The sequence below is a fragment of the Homo sapiens genome, chromosome 3 (genome assembly GCF_000001405.40).
Source record: "Homo sapiens chromosome 3, GRCh38.p14 Primary Assembly".
NCBI lineage: Eukaryota > Metazoa > Chordata > Mammalia > Primates > Hominidae > Homo > Homo sapiens.
The window spans coordinates 170,035,233-170,047,015 of NC_000003.12; the positions used below are offsets into that span (position 1 = coordinate 170,035,233).

The following is an 11,783-nucleotide window of genomic DNA, read 5'->3' on the forward strand; positions in this document are numbered from 1 at the left end:
TTTTTTTTTTTTTTTTGAGACAGAGTCTCGCTCTTGTCGCCCAGGCTGGAGTGCAATGGTGTGATCTCAGCTCACTGCAACCTCCGCTTCCCAGGTTCAAGTGATTCTCCTGCCTCAGCTTCCTGAGTAGCTGGGATTACAGGCGCCCGCCACCATGCCTGGCTAATTTTTGTATTTTTAGTAGAGACGGGGTTTCACCATGTTGGCCAGGCTGGTCTCAAACTTCTGACCTCATGCAGTCTGCCCACCTCAGCCTCCCAAAGTGCTGAGATTACAGGTGTGAGCCACTGTGCCCGGCTCTCATTTTCCTCTTCTATAAAGGAGAGTAATAACCCTACCTTGCAGGGTTGGCGTGAGGCTCGTTTGAAGTTATGTATGTCCAGCTCCTGTTCTATACTATCCACTCCCTAGATGATGGTTATTTTTGTTATGAGTATGATTTGGCCCCCATGCCCTCTGCTCTAACTCAACTCCCATCCTCTCCCTCTCAGGTCTTCTGACCCACTTGCCATTCCCTTATTAGAACATGAACTCTCTGCCTGGCTTTCCACTTCCCACTTTGCACACGTTGGAATCTTGGCGGAAGCACCTCACATCCCGTTGAACCCGGTACTCCTCTGTGATTCAGTTGGCCTCTGCACTTCTCCAGGAAGTTCTCTCTGCCACTCCAGGCCAGGTGAAGCTGCTCCTCAGTCTCCCTAGCAACCCACACTTAATTCTATCAGGGTTCTTCTTGCACCCTTGGGCAATTACTGAGTTCCTTGCAAGGCTAGTCCAGACTCTCAGTGTATAAACCACCCTTGAGGTAACTAATTCCATCTTAGAAAAACCCTCCATTTTATATTTCATGGGCACTTTGCTAACAAGGATAAGATGTTTTGCTTGACGAACAAATTTTAAAAAAGAACACAAACAAGCACACTCATCCACTATAAGTTCTCACCAGAGGACCCTCTGACTGTAAAAGAGCGAAGCCTTCAGCTTGGCTGTCTTCACTAACACCGTCTTGCAGTCACTCATGATAAGAACTCAGAATTTGCCACCGAAAGCTCTGCCACATCAAAGACTCTTCCTTGCAAGACCACCAGGCCCAGACCAGGACTCCCTTTGTCTTCTTCCCTCCCTTTGGACTGGTTCATTAACCCTTTCTCCTCTTCTTCGTCTTGATGTTAAATATTACTTTGTTGTGGAATGTTTAATCTACAACATTCGTATAGTGATTAAGTATACTAGTATGTATGGTTTGCAATATTTACTGACTTATGGAGTGGCTTGAACCTATGTGCTCTGACTACAGAGTGAATGGGAAGGACTAAGGAGAATTGCCTCCTTGGGAACTCCATGTAGCTCCTGGATTTTGTGATTGAAATAGCATTTAAAAAAAAAAAAAGACTGACATTGTGGAGAGATACAAACGTGTATGGACATGGTCATCTTTAATCTCTAACTGCTATGACACTCAGAGAGGTTGAGAGGCTCAGGACACTCCCCTTGTTCAAGGCTCTGCGTGAAGAGGAGAAGGAAGAAATTGTGCAATATTTTATTTTATTTTATTTGTTTCAGATGAAGTCTGTCTCTGTTGCCCAGGCTGGAGTGTAATGGCGTGATCTTGGTTCACTGCAACCTCTGCCTCCTGGGTTCAAGTCATTCTCCTGCCTCAGCCTCCCAAGTAGCTGGGACTACAGGCATGTGCCATTACGCCCAACTAATTTTTGTATTTTTAGTAGAGGCAGGGTTTCACCATGTTGGCCAGGCTGGTCTTGAACTCGTGACCTCAAGTGATCCACCCGCCTCGGCCTCCCAAAGTGCTGGGATTACAGGCTTGAGCCACTGCGCTGGCCTAATTGTTCGATATTTTAAATGTTTAAATGACCGGCAAGTCGTAGGTGCTCAACAAATATTTGTTGAATGACAACAAATTAGCACTGTTGACACAAAAAAGGCAATGCAATATATGGGCTATTTAATATTTGCAGATTTTTATTTAAAAATCTGAATTCACAGTACACTGCAGGCGGTTGCTTAGAAGCATACAAGTTTCAAGAAGTTCTGTCACCCTGTGTATACTCTTTTTTTTTTTTTTTTTTTTTTTTTTTTTTTTTTTTGATACGGAGTCTTGCTGTTGCTGCCCAGGCTGGAGTGCAGTGGTGCGGTCTTAGCTCACTGCAACCTCCGCCTCCTGGGTTCAAGCGATTCTCGTGCCTCAGCTTCCCAAATAGCTGGGATTACAGGTGCGTGCCACCAAGCCCGGCTAATTTTTGTATTTTTAGTAGACATGGGGACCAACGTGGACCATGTTGGCCAGGCTGGTCTCAAACTCCTGACCTCAAGTGATCCGCCCACCTTGACCTCCCAAAGTGCTAGGATTACAGGCATGAGCCACCGCCTGGCCACCCTGTGTAAACTCTTATCTGGAGACAACTGCCAAGTTTACATTTGCAGAGGTAAGGGAAGGAGAGGCCCTGACCCAGTGGCCCCCGCTCGCCCGCCTGCTGGGGAGATGGGGAGCTCCTAGGACAGGGGCCGGGTCCTCAAGATGTGGCATGAGGAAGGGGGTCTCACTGAGCCCCCAAGCGGCTCCCGCACTGCGCACCCCTGGCTGCGTCCCTCTGCCAGCCTCAACTCAGCCCTCTCCTAGCCGGCGGGGGGTGACAGTCTCTGTGATATCTTTCCGTCCCGCCGGCAGGCGGCGCCCTCCGGCCCTTGTTTCGTTGGGCCCGGACGGGACGTGCGCGCTCAAAGGTTGCCCGTCTCTGACGCCCGCATTTCCTGGTCTGGAGCCGGCTGAGCCACAGCAGGGTCGCCGCGGGGTCCCGGGGCCGTGCTCCCCTGCCCCTCCCGGGAGCGCGCGGGGCGGGGCGGGGCGGGGCGGGACCAGGCGGGCGAGCTGGGCCCTCGCCCCTCCCTCGGGCGGTCACCTGGGCACGGGCGCTGCAGGTGTCGGGGCCTCAACCTTGCGGAGCCGACAGCCATCGATCCTCGGGTGAGTGCGGGCGCAGGTGGAGGGCGCCCGGCGCTCTCGCCACCGGCGTCCCAGCCTCGGGGCGGCGAACGGTCCCCGCGCCGCTCCCAGCCTCCCTGGCCGGGCGTTCAGCGCGCCTGGGAGGGGAAGGAATTTCCTTTGCAGGAACTCAGGGGCTGGGGGTTCTCTGCTACTTAAGAGATCCAGGAGTGGAGCCCGGACGCCCGAGCCTTCCTGCTTCGGGATGGGGATTACCGCGGAGCCTTAGCAACTGGGGTCTGTCGTGGGTTTGAGGGCAGGGGGTCTGGGGAATGGGCGTGTCCCGCACCCAGAGACTCGCCACCCTCTCTCCAGGGGAGATGCTTTTTAAACATGACAAACCCAGCAAGGTTATAGAAATGGGTGTATGCAACTCTTCGCTCTTTCCTGGCGCCCAGAGGTGAATAGTCTCACACACACGCGCGCGCGCGCGCGTGCGTGCATTCATTGGGGCCGACTTTGCCTCCCCTCCCCTGGCCTCGAGCGTTGGGGACGGCGCCCCCGCCCGCGCCCGCCACTGGGATTAAGCCCCAGGGCCTTGCCCGGCTATTTGTTTTCCGAGGCCGTTGCGTCCGGGTAGGTTCCTGGATGACCATCCTGGCTGGCTCAAAATTCCCTCTAGATTACCTGCGACCACCCCCAGGAACCCGGAGACTGAAACTCCTTTTCTCACCTGCGCAGGTGGCCTCGAGGTGGTGGCAGGGCCGCCCCCTGCAGTCCGGAGACGAACGCACGGACCGGGCCTCCGGAGGCAGGTTCGGCTGGAAGGAACCGCTCTCGCTTCGTCCTACACTTGCGCAAATGTCTCCGGTAAGGGGAAGTGTCGCTTAAATCCCAGAGATAACCCCCACCGAGAAGCATCACAAAAGACATGAACGAGTGTTTAGCTCTCAGGATTGTTATTGCTTCGAGTGAAATGGTTTCTTGTGTGCTTTTGTGCATTTATATATAAATATAAACATATATGTATACATTTGACAAGCTCTAAGACCGGCACTTGTGATATCTCCAGAATAGAGTTATTATAGTTATTTGGAAATTGTCAGTGAGGATCAGCTTGGTTGCTATGCGAATTGCAGGGAGGAGGACCTGTGTGCAGTTTCAAAACGATTTAAGAGAAATTCGGTGGCAATACAAGGTGTGGACGTTGGTTGGATCCTGATTTGATGAATGTTTTTTAAAATGGAGATGATGCCCGAGTGCGGTGGCTCACACCTGTAATCCCAGCACTTTGGGAGGCCGAGGTGGGTGGATCACCTGAGGTCAGGGGTTCGAGACCAGCCTGGCCAACATGGTGAAACCCTTCTCTACTAAAAATACAAAAATTAGCTGGGTGTGGTGACACGCGCCTGTAATCCCGGCTACTCGGGAAGGCTGAGGTAGGAGAATCGCTTGAACCCGGGAGGCGGAGGTTGCAGTAAGCCGAGATGGCGCCACTGCACTCCAGCCTGGGAGGCAGAGCGAGACTCCGTCTCAAAATAAATAAATAAATAAGGAGACGATGAAGGACATTTCTACTGATTATTTGATGGTATCAAGGAAATTATAATAGTTCTGTTTAGTTACTTTTGGTAACGGTATCCTGATTAAGGTTTTTAAAATCCCTGTAGAGACACAGACTGAAGTTGAAATACAGCTTTGGGATTTGCTTCAGAATTATTCAGTTTTAGATGCTAGCAGAGAAGGGAGGGGAACAAGATGAGAGGAGATTGTTCATGGATTGTTAATAGTTGAAGCTGGGAAGAACACATGGACACAGGCAGGGGAACTTCAGGCACGGGGGCCTGTCGGAGGGTGGGGGGAAAGGGGAGGGAGAGCACTAGGACAAATACCTAATGCATGCAGGGCTTAAAACCTAGATGACGGGTTGATAGGTGCAGCAAAACACCATGGCACATGTATACCTATTAACAAACCTGCACATTCAGCACCTGTATCCCAGAACTTAAAGTAAAACAAAAATAAAAATAGTTGAAGCTGGATGATGGTTATGGAAGTCCTTATGCTATTGTTTCAGTATTTGTGTGTGTTTGGCATTTTCCTTTAAACAGAACACCACCACTTGTGGAGCTTTTTTGCATAAGGTAGGTTTGGCACTGCAGCCGAGTCTAGATGCAAGGTCTTCCGCAGACGCTCGTTCTTTGTAAATTGGGTGTCAAGGCTGCTTCTCCAGACTCGGTCATAAAAAGTTTTTTTCTCCCTACTGGAGGTGCCGATTTATTTTGCTCAGAAGGCAGAGGGTGTTTGCTGAGTGTGACAAAGCTGAGCGGATCAAGTTGATGCAGGTGGAGGCTAGGTCAGCTTTTTTTACACAAAGGGCATTAGCAAGCCTGGGGGTTGATTGCCTCCGGTCGGGCGGATTGTATAAAACGTGTTAGCAGTTTTTCCTAATTGCCCAAATCCCTTCCAAGTTGTGTTCATCAAAAAACAGAGTTTGCAGTAGTGAACACACGTGTCGGTATGCACTTAGGATTTATGTACACTTCTGAAAGCATTGCATGCCTCAGTAAAAAGTGTATATGATGAAAACAAAGCACAAGATGAGTAGAGGGCTGCTTATTGCTTGAGAGAGAGCTTAGCTGTGTTGTGTTGCCTATTTCATCTTTATCTTGTTTGCTTCAGCGATCATGACATGTAAATATTTAGCAAAGCACTGACTCCTAAAAGTTCTGCATGGTGGTAACACATTTTTTTTAAGAATCATGCTTGAAAGAGGGTAAGGAAGGAGTAATAGCTATATCTTCATCAGGCTTGCTCCAGATTTCTTTTCTCCAGATTTAGCCTATAATTCCTACTCATTCTGTCATGCTTGGTCAGTACTTTGGAATAGTGATTCTGAGAGGGAGCTGTTGAAGTTAGTAGAGGGAGGAAGGGGAGGTATATTTCCAAAAGGTAAATCCACATTTTTTAGTCGCTTCAGTATAACTGAATGTAATGCCTTTTGATTTAAAGATAAAACAAGTCAAAGAGATGAGATCTGGGACAGTTAAAAGTTGAAGTGTTCGGTGAATCTCCCCGGCGTAGACCTTGCTCGTGTAGATTCACTAGTCTAAAGGATGTAAAGATTTTTTTTTTTTTTTTTTTTTGAGACGGAGTCTTGCTCTGTCACCCAGGCTGGAGTGCAGTGGCGTGATCTCGGCTCACTGCAAGCTCCACCTCCCGGGTTCACGCCATTCTCCTGCCTCAGCCTCCCGAGCAGCTGGGACTACAGGCGCCCGCCACCACGCCCGGCTAATTTTTAGTAGAGACGGGGTTTCACCGTGGTCTCCATCTGTTGACCTCGTGATCTGCCCGCCTCAGCCTCCCAAAGTGTTGGGATTACAGGCGTGAGCCATCGCGCCCGGCCGTAAAGATGTTTTAAGATTCGGTTGAGGAATGCTGAAGCATGTCCTAATTTCACTGCTGTGATGGGAAAATAATGAGACAACCAACAAAAATCCCCTTACAGTGGGGGGAGATACCACAGTGAATTCATGATGGTTCTTAAATGAAGTGAAATTGTTTGGTTTGTGGCTCTGTTTTCTTGGTATGAATGAAAGAAGTATGCAACCGTCACGTAACTTTATTTTATACCTCAGTTTCCTCTCTAGTTCCCTAAAAGCATGGAAAGAGAAAAGAAACTTGCCAGGCCCTTTAGTGACCAAACTAATGTTTACTCTCCTCTGTAGGAGAGTGGTAGATTTGGACTCTGGAGAGTTGATTGCTAATAGCCATTTTAAGGACTTACCACAAATGTGACACCATTTCGCCCTGATTCACATTATTAAGGGTATGAACGCATTAGAAAAGCAAATGGCTCCCTTGTTGGGCTAGAAATGATAGGAAAGAGTGTTGGCAATCTAGTCAACAGTATTCTCCTAGATTCATAAACACTTCGCTTTCATCTGCATCACCTCATCCCATCCTGTGAGGCGAAGCAGTGGTGATAGAGGGCAATTTTGGTTTTTAACAGATGGGAACATTGAAATATAAGGAAATCAGCCTGGGCAACATAGTGAGACCTTGACTCCACAAAAAATAAAGATAAATAAATAAAAATTAGCCAGGTATGGTGGTGCACGCCTGTAGTCCCAGCTACTCAGGAGGTTGAGGTGGGAGGATTGCTTGAGCCTGGGAGGTTGAGGCTGCAGTGAGCCGTGATCATACCACTGTACTCCAGCCTGGGTGACAGAGCAAGATACTGCCTCAAAAAAAAAAAAAAAAGAAAGAAAGAAATCTAAAGAAGATTGCTTTAAATCACATCTTTAGGGAGACAGGGAAGGAAATTTAACATTTATCAAGAGTTCATTGGCCAAAGAAAAGAGTTCATGGGCTGGGTGTGGTGGCTCGCATCTGTAATCCCAGCTCTTTGGGAGGCTGAGGGGAGGAAGGTTTGCTTGAGGCCAAGAGTTCAAGACCAGCCTGGGCAACATAGTGAGGCCCCCATCTCTACAAAAAAAAAAAATAAATAAATAATAATAATAATAATAAAATTGGCCAGTGTGGTGGTGGCTGAGGTGGGGAGGGTGGCTTGAGCCCAGCAGTTCTAGGCTGCAGTAAGCTATGTTTGCACCATTGCACACCAGCCTGGACGATAGGGCAAGACTCTCTCTCTTAAAAAAAAAAAAAAAAAAAAAGAATTCATGGTAGTCTTCTGGTAGTCTTCACACACTTTTTTTTTTTTTTTGAGATGGAGTCTCGCTCTGCCACCCAGGCTGGAGTGCAATGGTGCAATCTCAGCTCACTGCAAGCTCTGCCTCCCGGATTCATGCCATTCTCCTGCCTCAGCCTCCCCAGTAGCTGGGACTACAGGTGCCCACCACCACGCCCAGCTAATTTTTTATATTTTTAGTAGAGACGGGGTTTCGCCATGTTAGCCAGGATGGTCTCGATCTACTGACCTCGTGATCTGCCCGCCTCAGCCTCCCAAAGTGCTGGGATTACAGACATTCACACACATTTTTGTTTTTTGTTTTGTTTTGTTTTGAGACAGAGTTTTTGCTTTGTTGCCCAGGCTGGAGTGCAATGGTGTGATCTCAGCTCACTGCAACCTCTGCCTCCTGGGTTCAAGCAGTTCTCCTGCCTCAGCCTTCCACGTAGCTGGGATTACAGGTGCCAGACACCATGCCTGGCTAATTTTTGTATATTTAGTAGAGACAAGGTTTCACCATGTTGGCCAGGCTGGTCTCGGAACTCTCGACCTCAGGTGATCCACCCTCCTCGGCCTCCCAAAATGCTGGGATTAAGGTGTGATCCACCATGCCTGGCCCACACACGTTTTTAATTCTGACAAATGTCTCTAGGTTGGGTATTATCAGTCCATTTTGCAAATGGAAGTTGTAGCTAGAGGTTAATAGTTTTTGCCTGAGGTCTTGCAGCTAGATTCAAACTCAGCTCTGTCAGATTTGACAGTCTGCGTTATTTCTGGCAGTTTCACACTACCTTTAGCAGGAAGCAGAGCAATACGCCCAAGAATTGGGTAGTCTAGGCAAACTATCTTCTTATCACACCCCACTGTCCTGGTGACAGGCGGGGGGCATGGGTCACATCTGACCAACAGATGTTCTGTCGGGCCAGCATAGAGCTTAAAAAAAAACACTGAGTGAGCGTTGAAAATTGGGAAATGTCAAATATTCTGCCCTAACGATTCCCAACGGCAATACTAGAGCAGCTGCCTCTTTAGGGAAGGGTAGTACATCCCAGTCCCCTCAGCCCCCAGCAACCCCTAAAATAGTCCCCAGCCCTGAGATTGTACTTTTTTTTTTTTTTAACGGTAAGAGATCTTTCTATGTATGTGTCTCTACCCCAAATGGAATAACAAAATATAGGTTGAGAGGCTCTTGTTGCAAGAAAAATGGGAAAGACACTTTGGGAGGCCAAGGTGCGGGGATCACCTGAGGTTGGGAGTTCGAAACCAACCTGACCAACATGGAGAAACCTCGTCTCTACTAAAAATACAAAATTAGCCTGGCGTGGTGGTGTATGCCTGTAATCCCAGCTACTTGGGAGACTGAGGCTGGAGAATCACTTGAACTCAGGGGGCGGAGGTTGCGGTGAGCCGAGATCACGCCATTGCACTCCAGCCTGGGGAAGAAGAGCGAAACTCCATCTCAAAAAAAAAAAAAAAGAGAAGAGAAAAATGGGAAAGAGCATATTCCTTTGAGGAAATGAGAGTCTTGTGTTTAGTCTCAGTGCTTCTCTGTCAGACGAATACAAGCCGCGTTGTCATTTTTCTCCCATGCTGCCTATTTTCTCACTTATAAGGAACTTGTTCGCTACCCCCTGCAGTTTGACAAGAATGGAGTAGGTGTGGGCAGGCCTCAGTAGGGAAAAGGAATGGCTCCAAACTCCCACACCATTGGGTCTTTGTGAGTAGGCAGGTGGGTCTTGTGCACCTTGGCGGTTCCCCAGGGTGTCCTGCAGGGATGGGGCACCAAAAAGGCCTTTAACCCTTCCCCTTTAAGCAGGGGACCCATGTGGATCCTGAAGTTGTGCATCAGCTCACTGTAGCTGCTCTGAGCTGGACCCCAGCCACTCTGAGGGGTTCCTAGGACTTGCAAAGGGCCCCTCTCCCCCATCCTTCTCTGCCTACCACTCTCCTGCTGATGACAAGTCCACTTCTATACACTGCTTAGGCACAGCCCCCCAAGAAAGCTCTGCAGGGATGAGGAGCTGAGGCACCCGCATAGTCCAGCCTTAAGGGGTTTCTGTGATGCAAGTCCAAGGGTGGCTTAATTTCCTTGCCTTGAAACTTTCGGTTAAGGGTCACGGGGCAAACATTCTCGCTTCTGTGAATAGCTGGAGTTTCATGACAGTTGAAGTTTCTCTTTAGATCTTTGTTTCCTTCCCCTGAGTTCTGCATTTTCTTCCCATGTACGTGTGCCGTGGAGGAGAATGAAAAGAGGAAATGGCACAAAAGTGAACCTTGTTGGGTGGCTTTCAGGAAATGTCAGGTGCTGTTGTGGGCCTTTGTCACTCGAGTTGTCAGTCTAGGTGTGTGTGTAAACGGACATGGAATAAACAAGGGCTCCAAGTGGAACAGCTTGTTTTGGCCAAAAGAAGTGAGTTCAGGCCGAGCATGGTGGCTCACACCTGTAATCCCAGCACTTTGGGAGGCCGAGGTGGGTGGATAGTGAGGTCAGGAAATCGAGACCATCCTGGCTAACACGGTGAAACCCTGTCTCTACTAAAAATACAAAAAAAAAAAAAAAAAAAAAAAAAAAAAAAAAAAAAAACCAATTAGCCAGGGGTGGTGGCACTCGCCTGTAGTCCCAGCTACTCGGGAGGAGACTCGCTTGAACCAGGAGGTGGAGGTTGCAGTGAGCCGAGATCACGCCACTGCACTCTAGCCTGGGCGACAGAGCAAGATTCTGTCTCAAAAAAAATAAAAAATAAAAAAAGAAAGAAAAAAAAAGAAGTGAGTTCAGAGGCTGACATGTTTTGTGAATGCCAGACCAGCGGCTTGATGGGATCCTTTCTGGAGAACTCTGCGATTCAGGTTTGTGGCTGTGTGCTCCCTCAGGTGATGATTAACCCCCTTGTCAAGGAAGAGTGGGTTAATTGGTTATTAGCCAGAGCAAACAGGGAGAGGCCAAGCAGTCTTGAGTATGGACTCAGCCAGATCCCTGGGTTTCATTTCTGGTTCTTCCACCACCTGTGTGACCTTGACTCATTTTTTAAAACCTCTTTGTACCTCAGTTTCCCCTATGTAAGCTAGAAGTAATAATAATACCTACATCATAGGGCGGTGAGGATTCAGTGGCACGTCAAGTGCTTGTAACAGTGCCTGGCATGGAGTAGGATGGATTGTGAGTTAGCTATTATTATTGTTGTTGTTAGAGCCCTGCTTCCTTTACTTTCACTTTTACTGGGGAGAATTTCCCCCACATAATGTTAGAAGAAAGACCACAGGGAAGAAATGCATCTGAGCTCTGACCTCTGTTCGTGGAGTGAGCCATGGGCTGCCCATCTGGGTTCCCACATGGCCTTAGGGAAATGTTCTCCATGACAAATGCTAACAGGGTGTTTGGTGCAGCAGCAGCTTTGGAATTGATGAGAACTGGGCCACAACTTGTGACTTTGAGCCAGGGCTTTGGCTTTGTTGTTCGGGGATTAAAATCTCCACTGACTGTGGAAAGGAGTTGGAATCCCCTAGCATTCATGTGGATACAAACTCCAACCCCTTATGAGAGAGCGGGCTAGTGTTAGCTGGGACACAGGAGTCCCAGCCTCAGCTATGCCACCGCCTGGCAGGGGTTTAAGGCCAGGTCTTCTGGGCAGCCAGTGCCTCTTCTGTCACCTGGGGATAAGCATATCTAATAGGAATGTTGTGAGGGGCTAACAACATTTTATGAAATCCTGACACAGACACAGCAAAGTACAATGCCTGACTTGCCCCTTAGTAGTAAAATCATAGAACAGATACATTGAGAGGCTTACTTTTTAACTTGGAAAAGTAATATAGATGCTGTTAACTAATGTTTATTTAATATTTTATAGTTCCTAAAAGGGCTATCTGGTTTGATCTTTAAACTAGCAATGCAGGTTTCTGTTTGTTTACATTTGTTTCGATTGCCTTTGGCTGCCTGTTTCAGGAGAGGAGGTACAGAAGTGAACCCAGGTTCAGGCCAGAAATGAGAACATGGAATGGCCTTCATTTTACTGTATCAGAGAGGTAACATGAGTTCTTATTCTTTATGCCCTTAAGTAATTCTGAGGAGGAAGCACTTTAGAGATTGATAGCTAAGGTGTTGCTGGGAAGCTGAAAGCATCCATGGTGTCCAGGGAAGCTGAATGGAGGGCC

At 48.2% G+C, this 11,783-nt stretch overlaps 1 protein-coding gene across 6 annotated transcripts in view, besides 7 other annotated features; it reads left to right on the forward strand.

Moving 5' to 3' along the window:
- Positions 2,738–3,217: a silencer, noted in NCBI's record as "silent region_14877". NCBI's record gives its function as "represses an Ori minimal core promoter by ATAC-STARR-seq in GM12878 lymphoblastoid cells {active_cell/tissue: GM12878}" and the evidence as "EXISTENCE:reporter gene assay evidence [ECO:0000049][PMID:35858748]".
- The window catches only part of GPR160 (G protein-coupled receptor 160), a 47,398-nt gene continuing 38,377 nt past the window's right edge, over positions 2,763–11,783 (forward strand). For 4 of the 6 annotated variants that reach the window (XM_024453449.2, XM_005247346.5, XM_017006161.3 and 1 more), the window contains exons 1-2: positions 2,763–2,983; positions 3,683–3,811. The gene's annotated coding sequence lies outside the window, so the exon portion shown is untranslated. Of the gene's footprint in view, positions 3,239–3,682; positions 3,812–11,783 lie in introns of all 6 variants that reach the window. The other 2 variants (XM_024453450.2, XM_047447959.1) reach the window with 2 other exon arrangements.
- Positions 3,528–3,577: a silencer, noted in NCBI's record as "silent region_14878". NCBI's record gives its function as "represses an Ori minimal core promoter by ATAC-STARR-seq in GM12878 lymphoblastoid cells {active_cell/tissue: GM12878}" and the evidence as "EXISTENCE:reporter gene assay evidence [ECO:0000049][PMID:35858748]".
- Positions 3,643–4,142: an enhancer, noted in NCBI's record as "NANOG-H3K4me1 hESC enhancer chr3:169756663-169757162 (GRCh37/hg19 assembly coordinates)". NCBI's record gives its function as "activates a minimal SCP1, AML or CMV promoter by ChIP-STARR-seq in naive H9 embryonic stem cells {active_cell/tissue: H9 hESC(naive)}" and the evidence as "EXISTENCE:reporter gene assay evidence [ECO:0000049][PMID:30033119]".
- Positions 3,738–3,787: a silencer, noted in NCBI's record as "silent region_14879". NCBI's record gives its function as "represses an Ori minimal core promoter by ATAC-STARR-seq in GM12878 lymphoblastoid cells {active_cell/tissue: GM12878}" and the evidence as "EXISTENCE:reporter gene assay evidence [ECO:0000049][PMID:35858748]".
- Positions 9,855–9,904: an enhancer, noted in NCBI's record as "active region_20793". NCBI's record gives its function as "activates an Ori minimal core promoter by ATAC-STARR-seq in GM12878 lymphoblastoid cells {active_cell/tissue: GM12878}" and the evidence as "EXISTENCE:reporter gene assay evidence [ECO:0000049][PMID:35858748]".
- Positions 10,484–10,984: an enhancer, noted in NCBI's record as "H3K27ac hESC enhancer chr3:169763504-169764004 (GRCh37/hg19 assembly coordinates)". NCBI's record gives its function as "activates a minimal SCP1, AML or CMV promoter by ChIP-STARR-seq in primed H9 embryonic stem cells {active_cell/tissue: H9 hESC(primed)}" and the evidence as "EXISTENCE:reporter gene assay evidence [ECO:0000049][PMID:30033119]".
- Positions 10,945–11,104: an enhancer, noted in NCBI's record as "active region_20794". NCBI's record gives its function as "activates an Ori minimal core promoter by ATAC-STARR-seq in GM12878 lymphoblastoid cells {active_cell/tissue: GM12878}" and the evidence as "EXISTENCE:reporter gene assay evidence [ECO:0000049][PMID:35858748]".